This window comes from Homo sapiens, chromosome 2 (genome assembly GCF_000001405.40).
Source record: "Homo sapiens chromosome 2, GRCh38.p14 Primary Assembly".
In the NCBI taxonomy this organism is placed as follows: domain Eukaryota; kingdom Metazoa; phylum Chordata; class Mammalia; order Primates; family Hominidae; genus Homo; species Homo sapiens.
Genome location: NC_000002.12, coordinates 24,478,731 through 24,492,954, shown reverse-complemented (window position 1 = coordinate 24,492,954; position 14,224 = coordinate 24,478,731). Strand labels below are relative to the sequence as shown.

At 46.5% G+C, this 14,224-nt stretch overlaps 1 protein-coding gene across 12 annotated transcripts in view, besides 4 other annotated features; it reads right to left on the bottom strand.

Annotated features, from left to right (window-relative positions):
• NCOA1 (nuclear receptor coactivator 1) overlaps positions 1 to 1,701 on the bottom strand; it is a 279,449-nt gene extending 277,748 nt beyond the window's left edge. For 8 of the 12 annotated variants that reach the window (XM_047446155.1, NM_001362950.1, NM_003743.5 and 5 more), the window contains exon 1: positions 1,353 to 1,701. The gene's annotated coding sequence lies outside the window, so the exon portion shown is untranslated. Of the gene's footprint in view, positions 1 to 766; positions 1,079 to 1,352 lie in introns of those variants that run through there. The other 4 variants (XM_047446154.1, NM_001362955.1, NM_001362952.1 and 1 more) reach the window with 1 other exon arrangement.
• Positions 929 to 1,418: a silencer, noted in NCBI's record as "silent region_11233". NCBI's record gives its function as "represses an Ori minimal core promoter by ATAC-STARR-seq in GM12878 lymphoblastoid cells {active_cell/tissue: GM12878}" and the evidence as "EXISTENCE:reporter gene assay evidence [ECO:0000049][PMID:35858748]".
• Positions 1,573 to 1,731: a silencer, noted in NCBI's record as "fragment chr2:24714093-24714251 (GRCh37/hg19 assembly coordinates)". NCBI's record gives its function as "represses an EF-1alpha promoter that drives an FKBP-Casp9 reporter gene in an ReSE screen in K562 erythroleukemia cells {active_cell/tissue: K562}" and the evidence as "EXISTENCE:reporter gene assay evidence [ECO:0000049][PMID:32094911]".
• Positions 1,709 to 2,048: a silencer, noted in NCBI's record as "silent region_11232". NCBI's record gives its function as "represses an Ori minimal core promoter by ATAC-STARR-seq in GM12878 lymphoblastoid cells {active_cell/tissue: GM12878}" and the evidence as "EXISTENCE:reporter gene assay evidence [ECO:0000049][PMID:35858748]".
• Positions 9,961 to 10,255: an enhancer, noted in NCBI's record as "tiled region #4589; HepG2 Activating non-DNase unmatched - State 21:Repr, and K562 Activating DNase matched - State 5:Enh". NCBI's record gives its function as "activates a minimal TATA promoter and a strong SV40 promoter by Sharpr-MPRA in HepG2 and K562 cells {active_cell/tissue: HepG2 | K562}" and the evidence as "EXISTENCE:reporter gene assay evidence [ECO:0000049][PMID:27701403]".

The following is a 14,224-nucleotide window of genomic DNA, read 5'->3' as shown; positions in this document are numbered from 1 at the left end:
CCAACCAATTCCAGAAGAGGAGACAAACCTCAAACAAATTTAACCCTTGAGATCCATCCCTCAACTGTATCATATAATCTACGCTTCACGGCAGTAATGTTTTAAGCAGACACTTGATTTCTTAATCACTGAAATGTAAGCACCAGCCCTCACAAATCATCGCCACAGAGATTCCTCTTGGCATCCACAGAGGGTGCTGGGACTGCAATTCACTCAAGAACCCTTTACTCACCAACATCACACTCGACATTAAAAACTCACCGTCTCCGAAGAAAAAATGTCACCTTCTGCACAAGGACACCTGCCTGTTCAACACCTCTACAAGAAACGAGGAGGGCCAAGCATGAGAGGCTAACAGATCCTCCAGCTTAAAGTTTTCCTCCCCATGAAACTCTCCGGACACAACACCGTGGCCTGTCCTTGTCACACACACACAGGCTGTATTGTCAACCCCTCCGTCTCCCTCTAACGTCGTCAGACTGGGCAGTGTCTACCCATGGGGGTAACTGCTTTTAAATAAAATAAAAAAGCAGCCACCACAGCTGGGTAGTAAGGACTGGAGACCCTGGGTGTCCGATTTTTTCAGGTCTTTTACAAGGGACTAGAGAGCGGCCCGAATTCTGTCACTGCCCACTAACCAACCCCACCTCCCAATCGCCTCGTCAACATGTTTGCTTCCCTTCCTCGGCCCTTTCGGCTGAATCCCAGGAAGGGGACCAAACCCGGGCCGCGACAGGAACATGTCCAGTATCCATCCCATGTCTACCTCCGAAACCCCTTCTCGGGAGAAGGGGCGAGCAAGCGCGCCGGGGTCAAACCCAAGCGCCGTCGAGGGCTGCGCCGACGGAGAGGGACGCCGCGGTCGCCCCCATTTCGCGGTCCCGGCAGGCGAGATTCCGAGAGGTGAGCGGGCCGGCCAAGGTCACGGCGTCGTCGGGGCCGAGGGGCGCCCGCGCCGACTTCCGGCTCCCCCTCTCGGCGGCGGCCCGGGGCGCCCGCTCCCCACGCCGGGCAGGCGGCCGCGCAGCTCGCACCCCCTCCGCGGATGCTCGCCCTCTCCGCGCTAACTAGGGCAACTGGAAAAGAGGCGGAGAGAAGTCGCTGCTGCAGCGATTTCCCCCGGCGGGGAGCAGCCCCCAGCTGGTGCCCGTGACAGCTGCGACCTCCGCCCCCTCCAGCCGCGCCGGGCCGCGAGGGGAACTCGGGGAAGTGGGAGGAGGATGGAGCGGGAGAAAGGAGAGCAGGGGGCGGAGGGGCGCCAGCTGCTCCCCGCCCCCTAGGGCCTCCGCGGCCGCGCGGCTCGTGACAGCTGCACCCACCGGGAGGCTCCGCACCCGCAGCCCGCCACTCACCTGCCGCCGCCGCCTCTGGGCCCCGCTCACCGGCGCCGCACTCGTCCGCGACCGTGGCGGCGGCGCCGCCCCGGCCTCCGCCGCTCCTCGGGCCCGGCGCCGCGGCTCTCCGGCCCCCTCCTCCGGAGCAGGGGTCCCCCCGCAGGGGGATGCAGAGGGAACCTGACGCAGGCTCCGCTCGAGGGAGCAGCAGCGAACAGGCGGCGGAGGCCCTCAAGGCCGCGAGGCAGCCGTCGGAGGACAGAGCTCAGCAAATCGCGTCAGACTCCCGCTCGCCCGGCCTGAAGAACAGGCATTTCAGCCGCTCTCCGCGGCCGCCATGTTCTCCTCCTCGGCCGCCACCGCCGCCGCCGCCACCGCCCCCCGCTCGCGGCACCGCCCCCTTCGCGCCCCGCCCCGCCCCGCCCGTTCCCGGCCGCCCGCCTGCCCGCCCGCCGCACTTCCCCTGCCGGCTCCGGCCGCCCGGGCCGCCGCGACCCGGTGCCCGCGAGCTCCGACAGTGCGCCCGGGACAGCGCGCCCCCAGCCCGCCGGGCCTGCCGGGCCCGCCGAGCGAGGAACCGCCCCGCGCCCTCTGCCGGCCCGCCCCAGCCGGCGTCCTAACGAAGTGTGGGAAAGGAGGCCCGAACTCTTCCCCGCCCGTCTCAACTCCTCCCCGCCCCTCTCCTGCCCTCCCCTCGGGGCGTTCCTCCCACTGCTGCCGGGAAGCGGCCTCGAACACCAGGGCGCTCGCAGCTAGGCCGCCGGGCCTGCCGCCTCCCGCTGTTCTTTATCTTTCTGGGAAGGTGTCGGAGCGGCGAGAGGCCCTGCGGACGGGGCGGAGTCGGCTCCGGGCCTGTCCCTCCACTCGGGCGTTCTGTTACTTTGAGCGAGACATATCCCGCGGGCCTCGTTTTTTATTCTGTAAAATTGGGAGGTGGTTGCCTAGATGATTTCACAGGCTATTAGACAAGAGAAAAGGAAGATCGTCTGCCCCCTTCGTTTTACAGATGAAAAGATCTGCCTGACCCGTTCTGGCTCTGCAATTCCATGAATTATCTAAAATGTCTGTCATTCACAGATCTTTCCCCTCAAGGGGCCCACACCTTTCTTCTTATCTCCCTTTTCTTTTTTTTTTTTTTTTAACTTCTCTAATAGAAGTGCTACTTCCAAAAGTAGAGTGTTCTTGTCACCAGAGGAATCGAACAGCGGCTGAACAGCCTCTCTGAGCTGCGATGGCCTTATCTGGACCGCATCCCGCATTCCAAAGGCTGGCAATGCAATATATACCTATGTCTCTCCCTGGGTTGTCCTAAGCATGAATGAGTCACTCGCCGTGGAAGTGCCTTGTAAAGCATACATCTGTCCATTCCTTTCTTTTATTCTTACCCCATTTCGCACTCTTACCCTTCCTCAATCCTGTCCTGCTGCTGCTGTCTCCCGGCGTTTCCTGCTGTTTCGCTTCCTGTGTGTTCTCCCCTAAATCAATCTCTGTAAATCCTTAAGCCCTTCCCACCCTTCTCCCAACTGGGGAACCTGACAGCCTTGAAAACACCAATCTCCGTGGCAGCTCTCTGAGTCGACGGGCAGCTTCTTTCACAGGCAGGTACTACTGTATGCTTTCACCATCCTCTTCCTATCCTTGTCACGCTCATAAAGTAATCGCTAGACCACACCCCCACATGCATTCATATATTCATTCATTTATATATTCATTCCCCTGATTCTTATCGGAGACCTACTACTGGGGCCCTAGGTGCATCTCCTGAGCTCTGGCTTAGCAGTACCTCTAGCCACCCGCAGAGTCCCTATCCCCAATAATAGCTGAAAATACCCGGGCACTCATGAGTTTCGTCCCCTAATGTAGGGCCTACTTCCCAATCTAGTCCAATGCAGACTGTGTGAAAGTGCCTTGTTCTAGCCTCTGGTGCCAACAAATGAGCCACTTGTGCAAGGTACTCCTGTCTCCACTAGACTCTAGTAAGTGCTGAAGGCCAAATCTAGTGGCCACTTCAGTCCTACTGTCGTGTGGCCTTTCTACAGCACGTGATACTGCTAACTCCTCCTTTTTGAAACTCTCCTCCCTTGTCTTCAATATGAGTCTCTCTACCTGATTTCTGAACTTGCCTTCGTTTGCACTTTTCTTGGGCTGCTCCTTTTTTACGGGGCCATAAAAAATGTTGGTATCCTCAAGGTTTTATTTTTTTCCTTCCTTTCCTCTGGCTTCGGTTGACTGTTTATTTCCACAGCTTCAACTGTTAACAAAACAACTCCTGAATTTCCTTCTTCCAATCTCCCACTCTGCAGCCCGGGGTCGTAATTAACTTTAAAATATCCTCAAGACACACAGTGCTAAGATTTTGTTGAATGACAAATTATTTAGGTGTTAATTTATATTGCCATAACCATCCATGTATGCTAAAGAGAGAGTTCTTTTCTAGAATGGTACTGTTTCTTTTTTGTTGTTGTTGAAACAGAGTCTCGCTCTTGTCGCCCAGGCTGGAGTGCAGTGGCGCGATCTCAGCTCACTGCAGCCTCTGCCTCCTGGGTTCAAGTGATTCTCCTGCCTCAGCCTCCCGAGTAGCTGGGATTACAGGCACCCGCCACCACGCCCGGCTAATTTTTTGTATTTTTAGTAGAGACAGGGTTTCGCCGTGTTGGCCAGGCTGGTCTTGAACTCCTGACCTCAGGTTATCCACCAGCCTCGGCCTCCCAAAGTGCTGGGATTACAGTCATGAGCCACTGCGCCTGGTAATGTTTCTTAAATAATAACTCTTTGACTTTTTTCTCCTTCCTCTACAAGTCATAATCACTTGTCAAAGCAGTTATAACACCCTTTTATGTCTCCAATTGGTAATCTTTTCTCTGGTCATACTCAACTTCTCTCAGACTCCATCTACTTTTACTAAACAGGCCCATTTTACTAATCCACCCGAGCAACCCTAAATATAGGGCCAAAAGATTCATTAGATTTACTTCGTGACTGTACAAGTAGCCTCTCTAAAATCCATTTACCTTAGCTATTTAAAATTTATTTACTCCCAAAATACAATGCCAATCAACAAGGAAGACTAACTCCAATTAAATGAAAATGCTTTGAAGATATTTATAAATAAAAATGTAAGACAACATTTAACTCTTATAGCCCAGATAGAACTGGTTTTAGTCCAAACCCTATTGTTTCCATAAATTAATATAATCCTTTGGTGGACTAGAAACAGCCTAGTTCTACGGGCAAAATCTAGAACATACCTGTTGGATTTTCTCCAGAGCATAATAGATTTCCAGTTCTATAAAATATATGGCTAGTGTGCATGAAATTACTCCAGTTACTGAGGCAAGAATTGATTTAACTTTGACATTCTTTTTTTCAAATAGTTTTTTGTTTTATAATAATTGATACAGACTCACAAAATATTCAGTCAATAAAGAACAGCACAAAAAGTTTAAAAATAAACTTTTTCAAGCCAGAGAGAAACATAGTAAACATGTTTCCACACCTTTCTCTATATATATTTGCACATATAAATACACTATATGTAGTCAATTTTACATAAAAATAAAATCACGCCTGTAATCCCAGCACTTTGGGAGGCCGAGACAGGCGAATCACCTGAGGTCAGGAGTTCAAGACCAGCCTGGCCAACATTGTGAAACTCTGTCTCTACTCAGTGTGGTGGTGGGTGCCTGTAATCCCAGCTACTCAGGAGGCTGAGGCAGGAGAATCATTTGAACCCAGGAGGCAGAAGCTGCAGTGAGCCAAGATCGCCTCACTGCACTCCAGCCTGGGCAACAGAGTGAGACTCCATCTCAAAAAAATAAAATAAATAAAATAAAATCACATGATAAATGCTCATCAGTAATCTGGTGCCTTTTACTGTACAATGTATTTTCATCCTAATAGTTAAATACTCTTGCATTGTGTATCTGTTTAGCCATTTAATTCCTTACTAAAAATGTTTACATTGTCTGTATTTTTGTTTGTATATTTTTGTAAATCATGCTGTAATTCTAATGCATGCCTCCGTGCAGTTTAGAAATTATTTTCTTTAAATTTCTAGAAGATTAATTGTTGGCTCAAAGGGTACATGTTAATTTTTTTACTACATTATTTACCAAACTGGCCTCCAGAAAATTGTTTCAATCTGTGGTCCTAGCCATAGTGCATGAGCCTGCCACTTGCCCATAACCAGCTCTGTATTTTACCCATTTCACTTTGAATAATCTTTAATTTCTACATCTGCTTAAAGGATAGAGGTTAAGAAGACTAGGTTTAGAGTTAGGGAGACCCAGGTTTGAAATGGGTTTGTCACTTACTAGCTGTATGAAACCTGGGCCAAACCACTTCAACATCTCCAAGACTCAGTGTCCCCATCTGTAAAATAGGATGCTAGCACTTGCCTCAAAGGATTGTTGCTAAGATTAAATGAAATAATGTATGTAAAGCACTCAATACAGTATTTGACATTTAGGATTGCCCATGAGAAAGTAAATATTAGCTCACACTGAGAAGGTAAAAAATCAGCTCAACTGTTCATCAGGCTAGAAAAATAGGCACAGATAAAGTCAGCTGCAAAGTTAACAGGATGCAATGTCTCCTAAGGACGTGCTGCAGCTGTAAAGTATCATAATAACCCCCTTCTTCAAGTGACTACAGCTTTCCTACTCACTCAGAAACATTGTTCTCTAAAACCATAGACATCACAAACTTTGGTGTTGGCAATTATATCAGTAAAAATGAAGCAGCCCCAATTTACGACCCAGGTGCAGTGCTTTGGGTGGGGGGTTTCTGGACATAGCATTGTATACCTATCTTAACTTTATTGTTTCCGAACAACACAATTCTCAGTCTACTTTGCAGTCCAGGCTGGACATTGACCCCTTTACACACAGCTAAGATTTACTTTGAGTCTATCAAAATTCTGCTGTATTTAAACTGTATCTTGGCTCTGCTAAAGGTTACTATCTTCCAGCATGTGTTATTAAGTAGAAGTACGTATTACATATTCATAGAGTTCCATTTGGAGCATCTTATAAATTTCTTTTTAACAATTAAAAAATGATATTTGTGAAGTTAGCTACAGTTAAGCAAATTGAATGGTTTTTGCCTCCATGTGAAACTGGTCTGGGATTAAGTTTCTTAGAGTTTCTCTCAGTTCTAGTACCCTTCTAAACAGTTATTTGAGTGATAAAACTTATTGCCCAGGAAGCTGGGGTTTTTTCGTTTGTTTGTTTTTGAGACTGAGTCTCACTCTGTCACCGAGGCTGGAGTACAGTGGCACGACCTTGGCTCACTGCAACCTCCGCTTCCCAGGTTCAAGCTATTCTCCTGCTTCAGTCTCCCTAGTAGCTGGGATTACAGGCGCCTGCCACCATGCCCAGCTAATTTTTGTATTTTTAGTAGAGACAGAGTTTCACCATGTTGGCCAGGCTGGTCTCGAACTCCTGACCTCAAGTGATCCACCCACCTCAGCCTCCCAAAATACTGGGATTACAGGCATGAGCCACCGCACCCAGCCTGATTTTTAAAAGTCAAATAAAAAATACTATGTCAGTGTTCCATTATCAAAAAATAGGATCTCTGATCTCTTCAGCAGATCTTGTTGATTAGTTACTATAACTTTATTTCCATACATTATGCAGCAGTTATTTTTTAGAATATTCTTAGATTCTATGTTAGTTAATTCACTTTTCAGAACTAACTACTTAGCAATATTATCTTGCTTCAGGCTTGGTGGTGAATTCTCCAGTGTTATATTCAGTTCCAAGAAAGATGTTTGAACATGTTCACACCTATTGGGTCTTGGACCCAATAGCAAGGTAGGTGTGAACATGTGCAAGTATTAGTCTTCCTTTCCTGAATGACCACTTCACATCTTTTAGTTTCGACAACTGTCTTGTTTCTCCTAAGGTGTATATTATTCATGCACATTAATCTTAACTAAGAAGATTAAGGTACCATAAAATTTCTTTGTTTTTTAGATCTAAATTTTTGAGATTATATTCTTTATGATGGACATTTTGGTTATTTTAAATCTTTCACTATTAAAAGCACACTGCAATGAATGCTTTCCTCGCACCCTCCTGAGATTAAAAGATAATCTATTTTCTGAGTATTAATGGCGTAAAACACAGGCATGCCTCCCTAACATATGTAGGCTTCAATCAGACTTGCTATAGCAGCTGCATCTCAGTTTTGAAGTCTGGATACCAAAGCCAGTTGTACACGTAGGAGGATTGGATTGGCAGTGGCCTGTGTTGTGTGCTTTGAGAGATGCCAGACATATCCCCACCCCCAAGCTTACCATAGTGCCTACAATTTCAACAACAAAGATTCATTCCTTTGGGTTTATAATTTGCTATCTCAGGGTAATCCTTTAAACAAATCATTCCTCCCTAATTATGGTTATTGTAGAAAATTGAGAACATACAGAGAAGTTAATAAATGAAAATAGAAATTACCTGTAGCTCACAACTCAAAAACCACTACTGTTAACATTTTGGTATTTTGTTTTCCTTTCCCATACATGAAATTGAAAAGTTGATTGTATTAGTCCGTTTTCACTCTGCTAATAAAGGCATACTCAAGACAAGGCAATTTACAAAAGAAAGAGGTTTAATTGGACTTACAGTTCCACGTGGCTGGGGAAGGTTCAACAATTATGATGGAAGACAAAAGGCACTTCTTATATGGCACAGGTCCAACAATCATGGCGGAAGATGAAAGGCACTTCTTACACGGCGGCAGCAAGAGAGAATGAGTAGGAAGCAAAAGCGGAAACCCCTAATAAACCCATCAGATCTCATGAGACTTATTTGCTATCACAAGAATAGCACAGGAAAGACCAGCCCCCATGATTCAATTACCTCCCCTTGGGTCCCTCCCACAACACATGTGAATTCTGGGAGATACAGTTCAAGTTGAGATTTGGGTGGGGACACAGTCAAACCATATCATTCCACCCCTGACCTCTCCAAATCTCATGTCCTCACATTTCAAAACCAATCATGCCTTCCCAACAGTCCCCCAAAGTCTTAACTCATTTCAGCACTAACCCAAAAGTCCACAGTCCAAAGTCTTATCTGAGACAAGTCCCTTCTGCCTATGAGCCTGTAAAATCAAAAGCAAGCTAGTTACTTCCTAGGTACAATGAGGATACAGGTATTGGGTAAATACAGCCATTCCAAATGGGAGAAATTGGCCAAAACAAAAGAGTTACAGGGCACATGAAAGTCTGAAATCCAACAGGGCAGTCAAATTTTAAAGCTCCAAAATGATCTCCTTTGACTGCAGGTCTCACATCCAGGTCATGCTAATGCAAGAGGTATGTTCCCATGGTCTTGGGCAGCTCCGCCCCTGTGGCTTTGCAGGGTACAGCCTCCCTCCTGGATGCTTTCGTGGGCTGGCATTGAGTGTCTGCATCTTTTCCAGGCGCATGGTGCAAGCTGTCGGTGGATCTACCATTCTGGGGTCTGGAGGACAGCAGCCCTCTTCTCACAGCTCCACTAGGCAGTGGCCTAGTAGGGACTCTGTGTGCGGGCTCTGACCCCACATTTCCCTTCCACCCTGCCCTAGCAGAGGTTCCCCCATGAGGACCCCACCCCTGCACCAAACTTCTGCCTGGGCATCCAGGCGTTTTCATACATCTTCTGAAATCTAGGCAGAGGTTCCCAAACCTCGATTTTTTACTTCTGTGCACCCACAGGCTCAACACCATGTGGAAGCTGCCAAGTCTTGGGGCTTCTACCCTCTGAAGCCACAGCCCAAGCTGTACATTGGCCCCTTTCAGCCACGGCTGGAGGGCTAGGACACAAGGCACCAAGTCCCTAGGATGCACACAGCACTGGCACCCTGGGCCCAGCCCACAAAACCACATTTTCCTCCTGGGCCTCCAGGCCTGTGATGGGAAGGGCTGCCATGAAGGTCTCTGACATGCCCTGGAGACATTTTCCCCATGGTCTTGGAGATTAACATTAGGTTCCTTGCTACTTATGCAAATTTCTGCAGCCAGCTTGAATTTCTCCCCAGAAAATGGGTTTTTCTTTTCTATCAAACAGTCAAGCTGCAAACTTTCTGAATTTTTATGTTCTGTTTCCCTCTTAAAACAGAATGCCTTTAACAGCACCCAAGTCACCTTTTGAATGCTTTGCTGCTCAGAAATTTCTTCCACCAAATACCGTAAATCATCTCTCTCAAGTCAAGTTTCCACACATCTCTAGGGCAGGGGCAAAATGCTGCCAGTCTCTTTGCTAAAATATAACAGAAGTCACCTTTGCTCCAGTTCCCAACAAGTTCCTCATCTCCATCTGATACCACCTCAGCCTGGACCTTATTGTTCATATCACTATCAGCTATCACTATCAAGAATTCAAATACTTGTAAAAGGAGGAGCAAATTGCTTGTGCCTTATGCCTCTCATGGATTCAATCAAGCTGATGGTTTTCTTCCCATTTGGGGAAGGTAAGGACACTGGAGGAAGTAAGTATCACAGAAAGGAAGGCAGAGGCCACTGAAGAGAAACGTTATCCTTTTTCTTGCTCAGCCAGCCTGTCTGAGAACAACGGAAATAGTTGCTAAGATGACGTTCTTTCCACCTTCATTAGATAGTGGATTCCACCAGCTTTTGAGCTCCCTGAGGGTGGGGCCTCTGCCTCCAGCATAATGCCAACAGCCTTATTTTTTATTAGATTTGACTTTCAAAAGAACCCACACTTGTGCACTTCATGTGCTGATGCAACTAAACAGCTTTTGACACACCAATTCATTCCTTCCTATCTCTGCTGACCAATGATGACTGTGAACTTTCTCATGAAGATGGCCCTCCCCGCTGCTGGTGCTGAGAAACAGGATCTAGCAAGGCAGCTGATACATGGGTGAGAGCTCATGGGGGTGCCCACTAGTGCCCTCTGAAAAGTCCCCAGGCAAGCGTTTCCTTTCTGGGGAGCCCTTAGACAACTCATGGAGGGCTGGCCATCCCCTGTCCAAACCTTCTCCACACTCCCATGACACCACTAAGCTGCAGACAGCACCAGGTTCAAGCAGGTGGTAGTGGAACCTCCTGGGTGGCTAGGTGGTGAGAAAGGCCCACTCTCTCAGCTTGGCAGGAGATGAGGGGACACACTTCTCTTTCCGTCTCACCTTCCGGAGGCTATCCAAATTCTGCCACTTAGGCAGAGGGAAGGCATGAGAAATCAGAAAGGGGAAATTCCCAGCTCTACTTCCTCAATCCCAAAGGCAAGCTGGCAAGCTGCAAGCTTTCAAATACAGGAATCAGAGATTCACTCGGGCAATCATTCAATAAACATTTATTAAAAGCCCAGTATGGGCCAAGCATTATTCTAAGTGTTGGGGGTGCAGTGGAAAATTTCTGTCCTCAAAAGTTTACATTGCAGGAAAAAAAGATACATAAATAAACAAGTAAATAAATGAGGACGGTTTTTATGTAAGTAGAACGTATAAAGTACAAACATTAATGCTAAAATAATTCAATGTATTAATCACTCTGATTCATGCCCAGAATTTCTCTTCATTACCAAGCTGCATAAAATCTAAGAATATTCTTCAGTTCAATTTAACAAACTGAGTGCCTACTTCCTACGGTGGGCTTGAAAACTGTAAAGACCGAAAAGAGGCTCCCTGCCCTCCAGACACTCCTCTTCTAATGTATTAATGTATTCAACTAATCACCATAGTCAGTGGTTGTACTACACATCTTCATTTAGGGAGGGGAGACGTATGTACTTCCATTCATGGAGCCAGCACATCCTGGGTCCACCAGCTCAGAACCTGCACCTAGCTTCTCATTCAATGCATGTGTATAGCTATGATTCTAAGAAAGAATTCATTTCACCCCTCCTCTCTTCCACACTTCCTAACCTCTGCTTGCCTCCCATTTCCCTAACTACTCTTTCTCCCCAAGCCATCAGAGACTGCCATCTCCTTGCATTCCTATTGTTCCTAGGGTCAGGAGACACTGGCAACACTCTCTTGGTGCTTTCCTCATCTAATTGGACTGAGTTTCCTACCTCCACAAACTCCTAAGGCAGGAAAGAATTCTTGGTACAATGTACTCATGTTACAGATCAAACAATTGAGGCCCAGAGAACTTAAGTGACTTATCCAAGGTCAAATGCTTAGTTGCTTCCTACAAGAGGCATTTTTGCTGGAGTGAGTCTAGGGAAAGGTTTTCAGAGACAGAGTTTCACAGACTTAAAGGGTTTTGCTTGCCTGCTGCTCCCTGTTAGCATAGAAATGAAGAAGAACCCTCAGTTAACCAAATGCAGGTAATGCACAGAGCACTAAAATCACCTGGCCACCTGGAGATGTAGGAGTAGGAGCAGGATTACTAGTGGTCAAGAAGTAAGTGGTCAGTGAGGGGTCAAGCCTGACTCCCTTGTGAGGTCTGTTGGTGGGGAGAGAGGATGGTAATCAATAACTTAAATGGGCTGGGCGCCGTGGCTCACGCCTGTAATCCCAACACTTTGGGAGGCTGAGGTGGGTGGATTACCTGAGGCCAGGAGTTCGACACCAGCCTGACCAACATGGCAAAACCCCGTTTCTACTAAAACTACAAAAATTAGCCAGGTGTGGTGGCAGACTCCCGTAATCCCAGCTACTTGGGAGGCTGAGGCAGGAGAATTGCTTGGACCCAGGAGGCAGAGGTTGCAGTGAGCCGAGATTGTGCCATTGCACTCTAGCCTGGGCGACAGAGCAAGACTCCTTCTCAAAAAAAAAAAAAAAAAAAAAAAAAAACTTAAATGAAGAGGATTCTTATTACAGAAATGCAAATCAGAACCACAACGAGATACCATCTCACACTAGTTACAACAGCCATTATTAAAAAGTCAAAAACAACAGATGCTGGACAGGTTGCAGAGAAAAGGGAATGCTTATACCCTGTTGGGAGTGTAAATTAGTGAAACCATTGTGGAAAACAGTGTGGTGATTCCTCAAACAGCTAAAAATAGAACTACCATTCAACCCGGCAATCCCATTACTGGGTGTATACCCAAAGGAATATAAATCCTTCTACCATAAAGACACATGGACATATATGTTCACTGCAGCACTATTCACAATAGCAAGGACATGGAATCAACCTAAATGCCCATTAATGGCAGAATGGATGAAGAAAATGTGGTATGGATATGCTGTGGAATACTATGCAGCCATGAAAAAGGAATGAGATCATGTCCTTTGCAGGAACATGGATGGAGCTGAAGGCCATTATCCATAGCACAGTAATGCAGGAACGAGAGACCAAATGCCGCATGTTCTCACTCACAGGCAGGAGCTAAGTGATGAGAATATGTGGACACAAAGAGGGGAACAACACACACTGGGGCCGAGGGTGAGAGGAGGGAGAGGATGAGAAAAAGGAACTATTGGTTGCTAGGCTTAGTACCTAGATGACAAAATAGTCTGTACAATAAACCCCCATGACACAAGTTTACCTATAAAACAAACCTGGGGCGGTGGCTCACGCCTGTAACCCCAGCGCTTTGGAAGGCCGAGGCAGGTGGATCACGAGGTCAGGAGATCGAGACCATCCTGGCTAACACAGTGAAACCCCGTCTCTACTAAAACTACAGAAAAATTAGCCGGGTGTGGTGGCAGGCGCCTGTAGCCCCAGCTACTCGGGAGGCTGAGGCAGGAGAATGGCGTGAACCCAGGAGGCGGAGCTTGCAGTGAGCCGAGATCGCACCACTGCACTCCAGCCTGGACGACAGAGCGAGACTCCGTCTTAAAAAAATAAATTAAATTTAATTTAATTTAAAAATTAAAAAAAAAAACAAACAAACCTGGACATGTACCCTGAACGTAAAATGAAAGTTAGAAAAAAAAGTAAAGAAGATTATCATTTCAGGAAAAGGGAGACATAAACATGGTGGTGGGCAGAGGGAGAAGATCATTTATTAGAAAAGATTGAAGTTGAGAGGCCAGGCACGGTGGCTCACACCTGTAATCCCAGCACTTTGGGAGGCTGAAGTGGGTGGATCATCTAAGGTCAGAGGACAGGAGTTCAAGACCAGTCTGGCCAACATGGTGAAACTTCATCTCTACTAAAAGTACAAAGATTAACCAGGCATGATGGTGGGTGCCTGTAATCCCAGCTACTCAGGAGGATCACTTGAACCTGGAAGGTGGAGGCTGTAGTGAGCCAAGATCCTGCCACTGCACTTCAGCCTGGATGACAGAATGAGACTCTGTCTCAAAAAAAAAAAAAAAGGAAAGAAAAATATTGAAGTTGAAAGAAAGGAAAAAAATTGACCAAACAAGGTTTAGGGGATGAGATTAAAGCCACAAGTGGTGCCATGACTTCTTGGCTTATTTTATTCTGCCATTAACTATCTACTTGACACTAAACTCCATGAGGACAAGGACCACATCAGGTTTTGCTTACCATGTGTCATCCAGTACTTGGCACATAGTAGGAACTCTGTAATATCTGTTGGAAAAATGAATGAACAAATGATGAGGGAACCTTCCAGTGCTTTACTTACGTACTCAGCAAAAGTTTAAGTCCAAATTAAAGAAGGGGAAAAAAAAAGGCAAGAAGGAGATTGACATATAAAACAGATGCCTTCTCTGGCCGATATACTGGATGAAATCCAAGAAACCCAGACAAATTTTCAGTAGTCACTGCCATAGAGAGAAACTGACAGTTCTGGGGACTTCAGTGCTGATGTGAATTGGAACTGTGCACTACAGCATAAAGTTATTCATCATCCTGAGTTTTCAATGCCAAATGAAATTTATCATGTAAATCTTGATGTGAATAGCAGAGTAGCTGGTGCCCTTGATAGAAATTTAACAAAACAAATAGAGACATTATACATATATATAACGGAGATATTAAAAATTTTTAACAACGGGTATGACTTAGAAGCTGA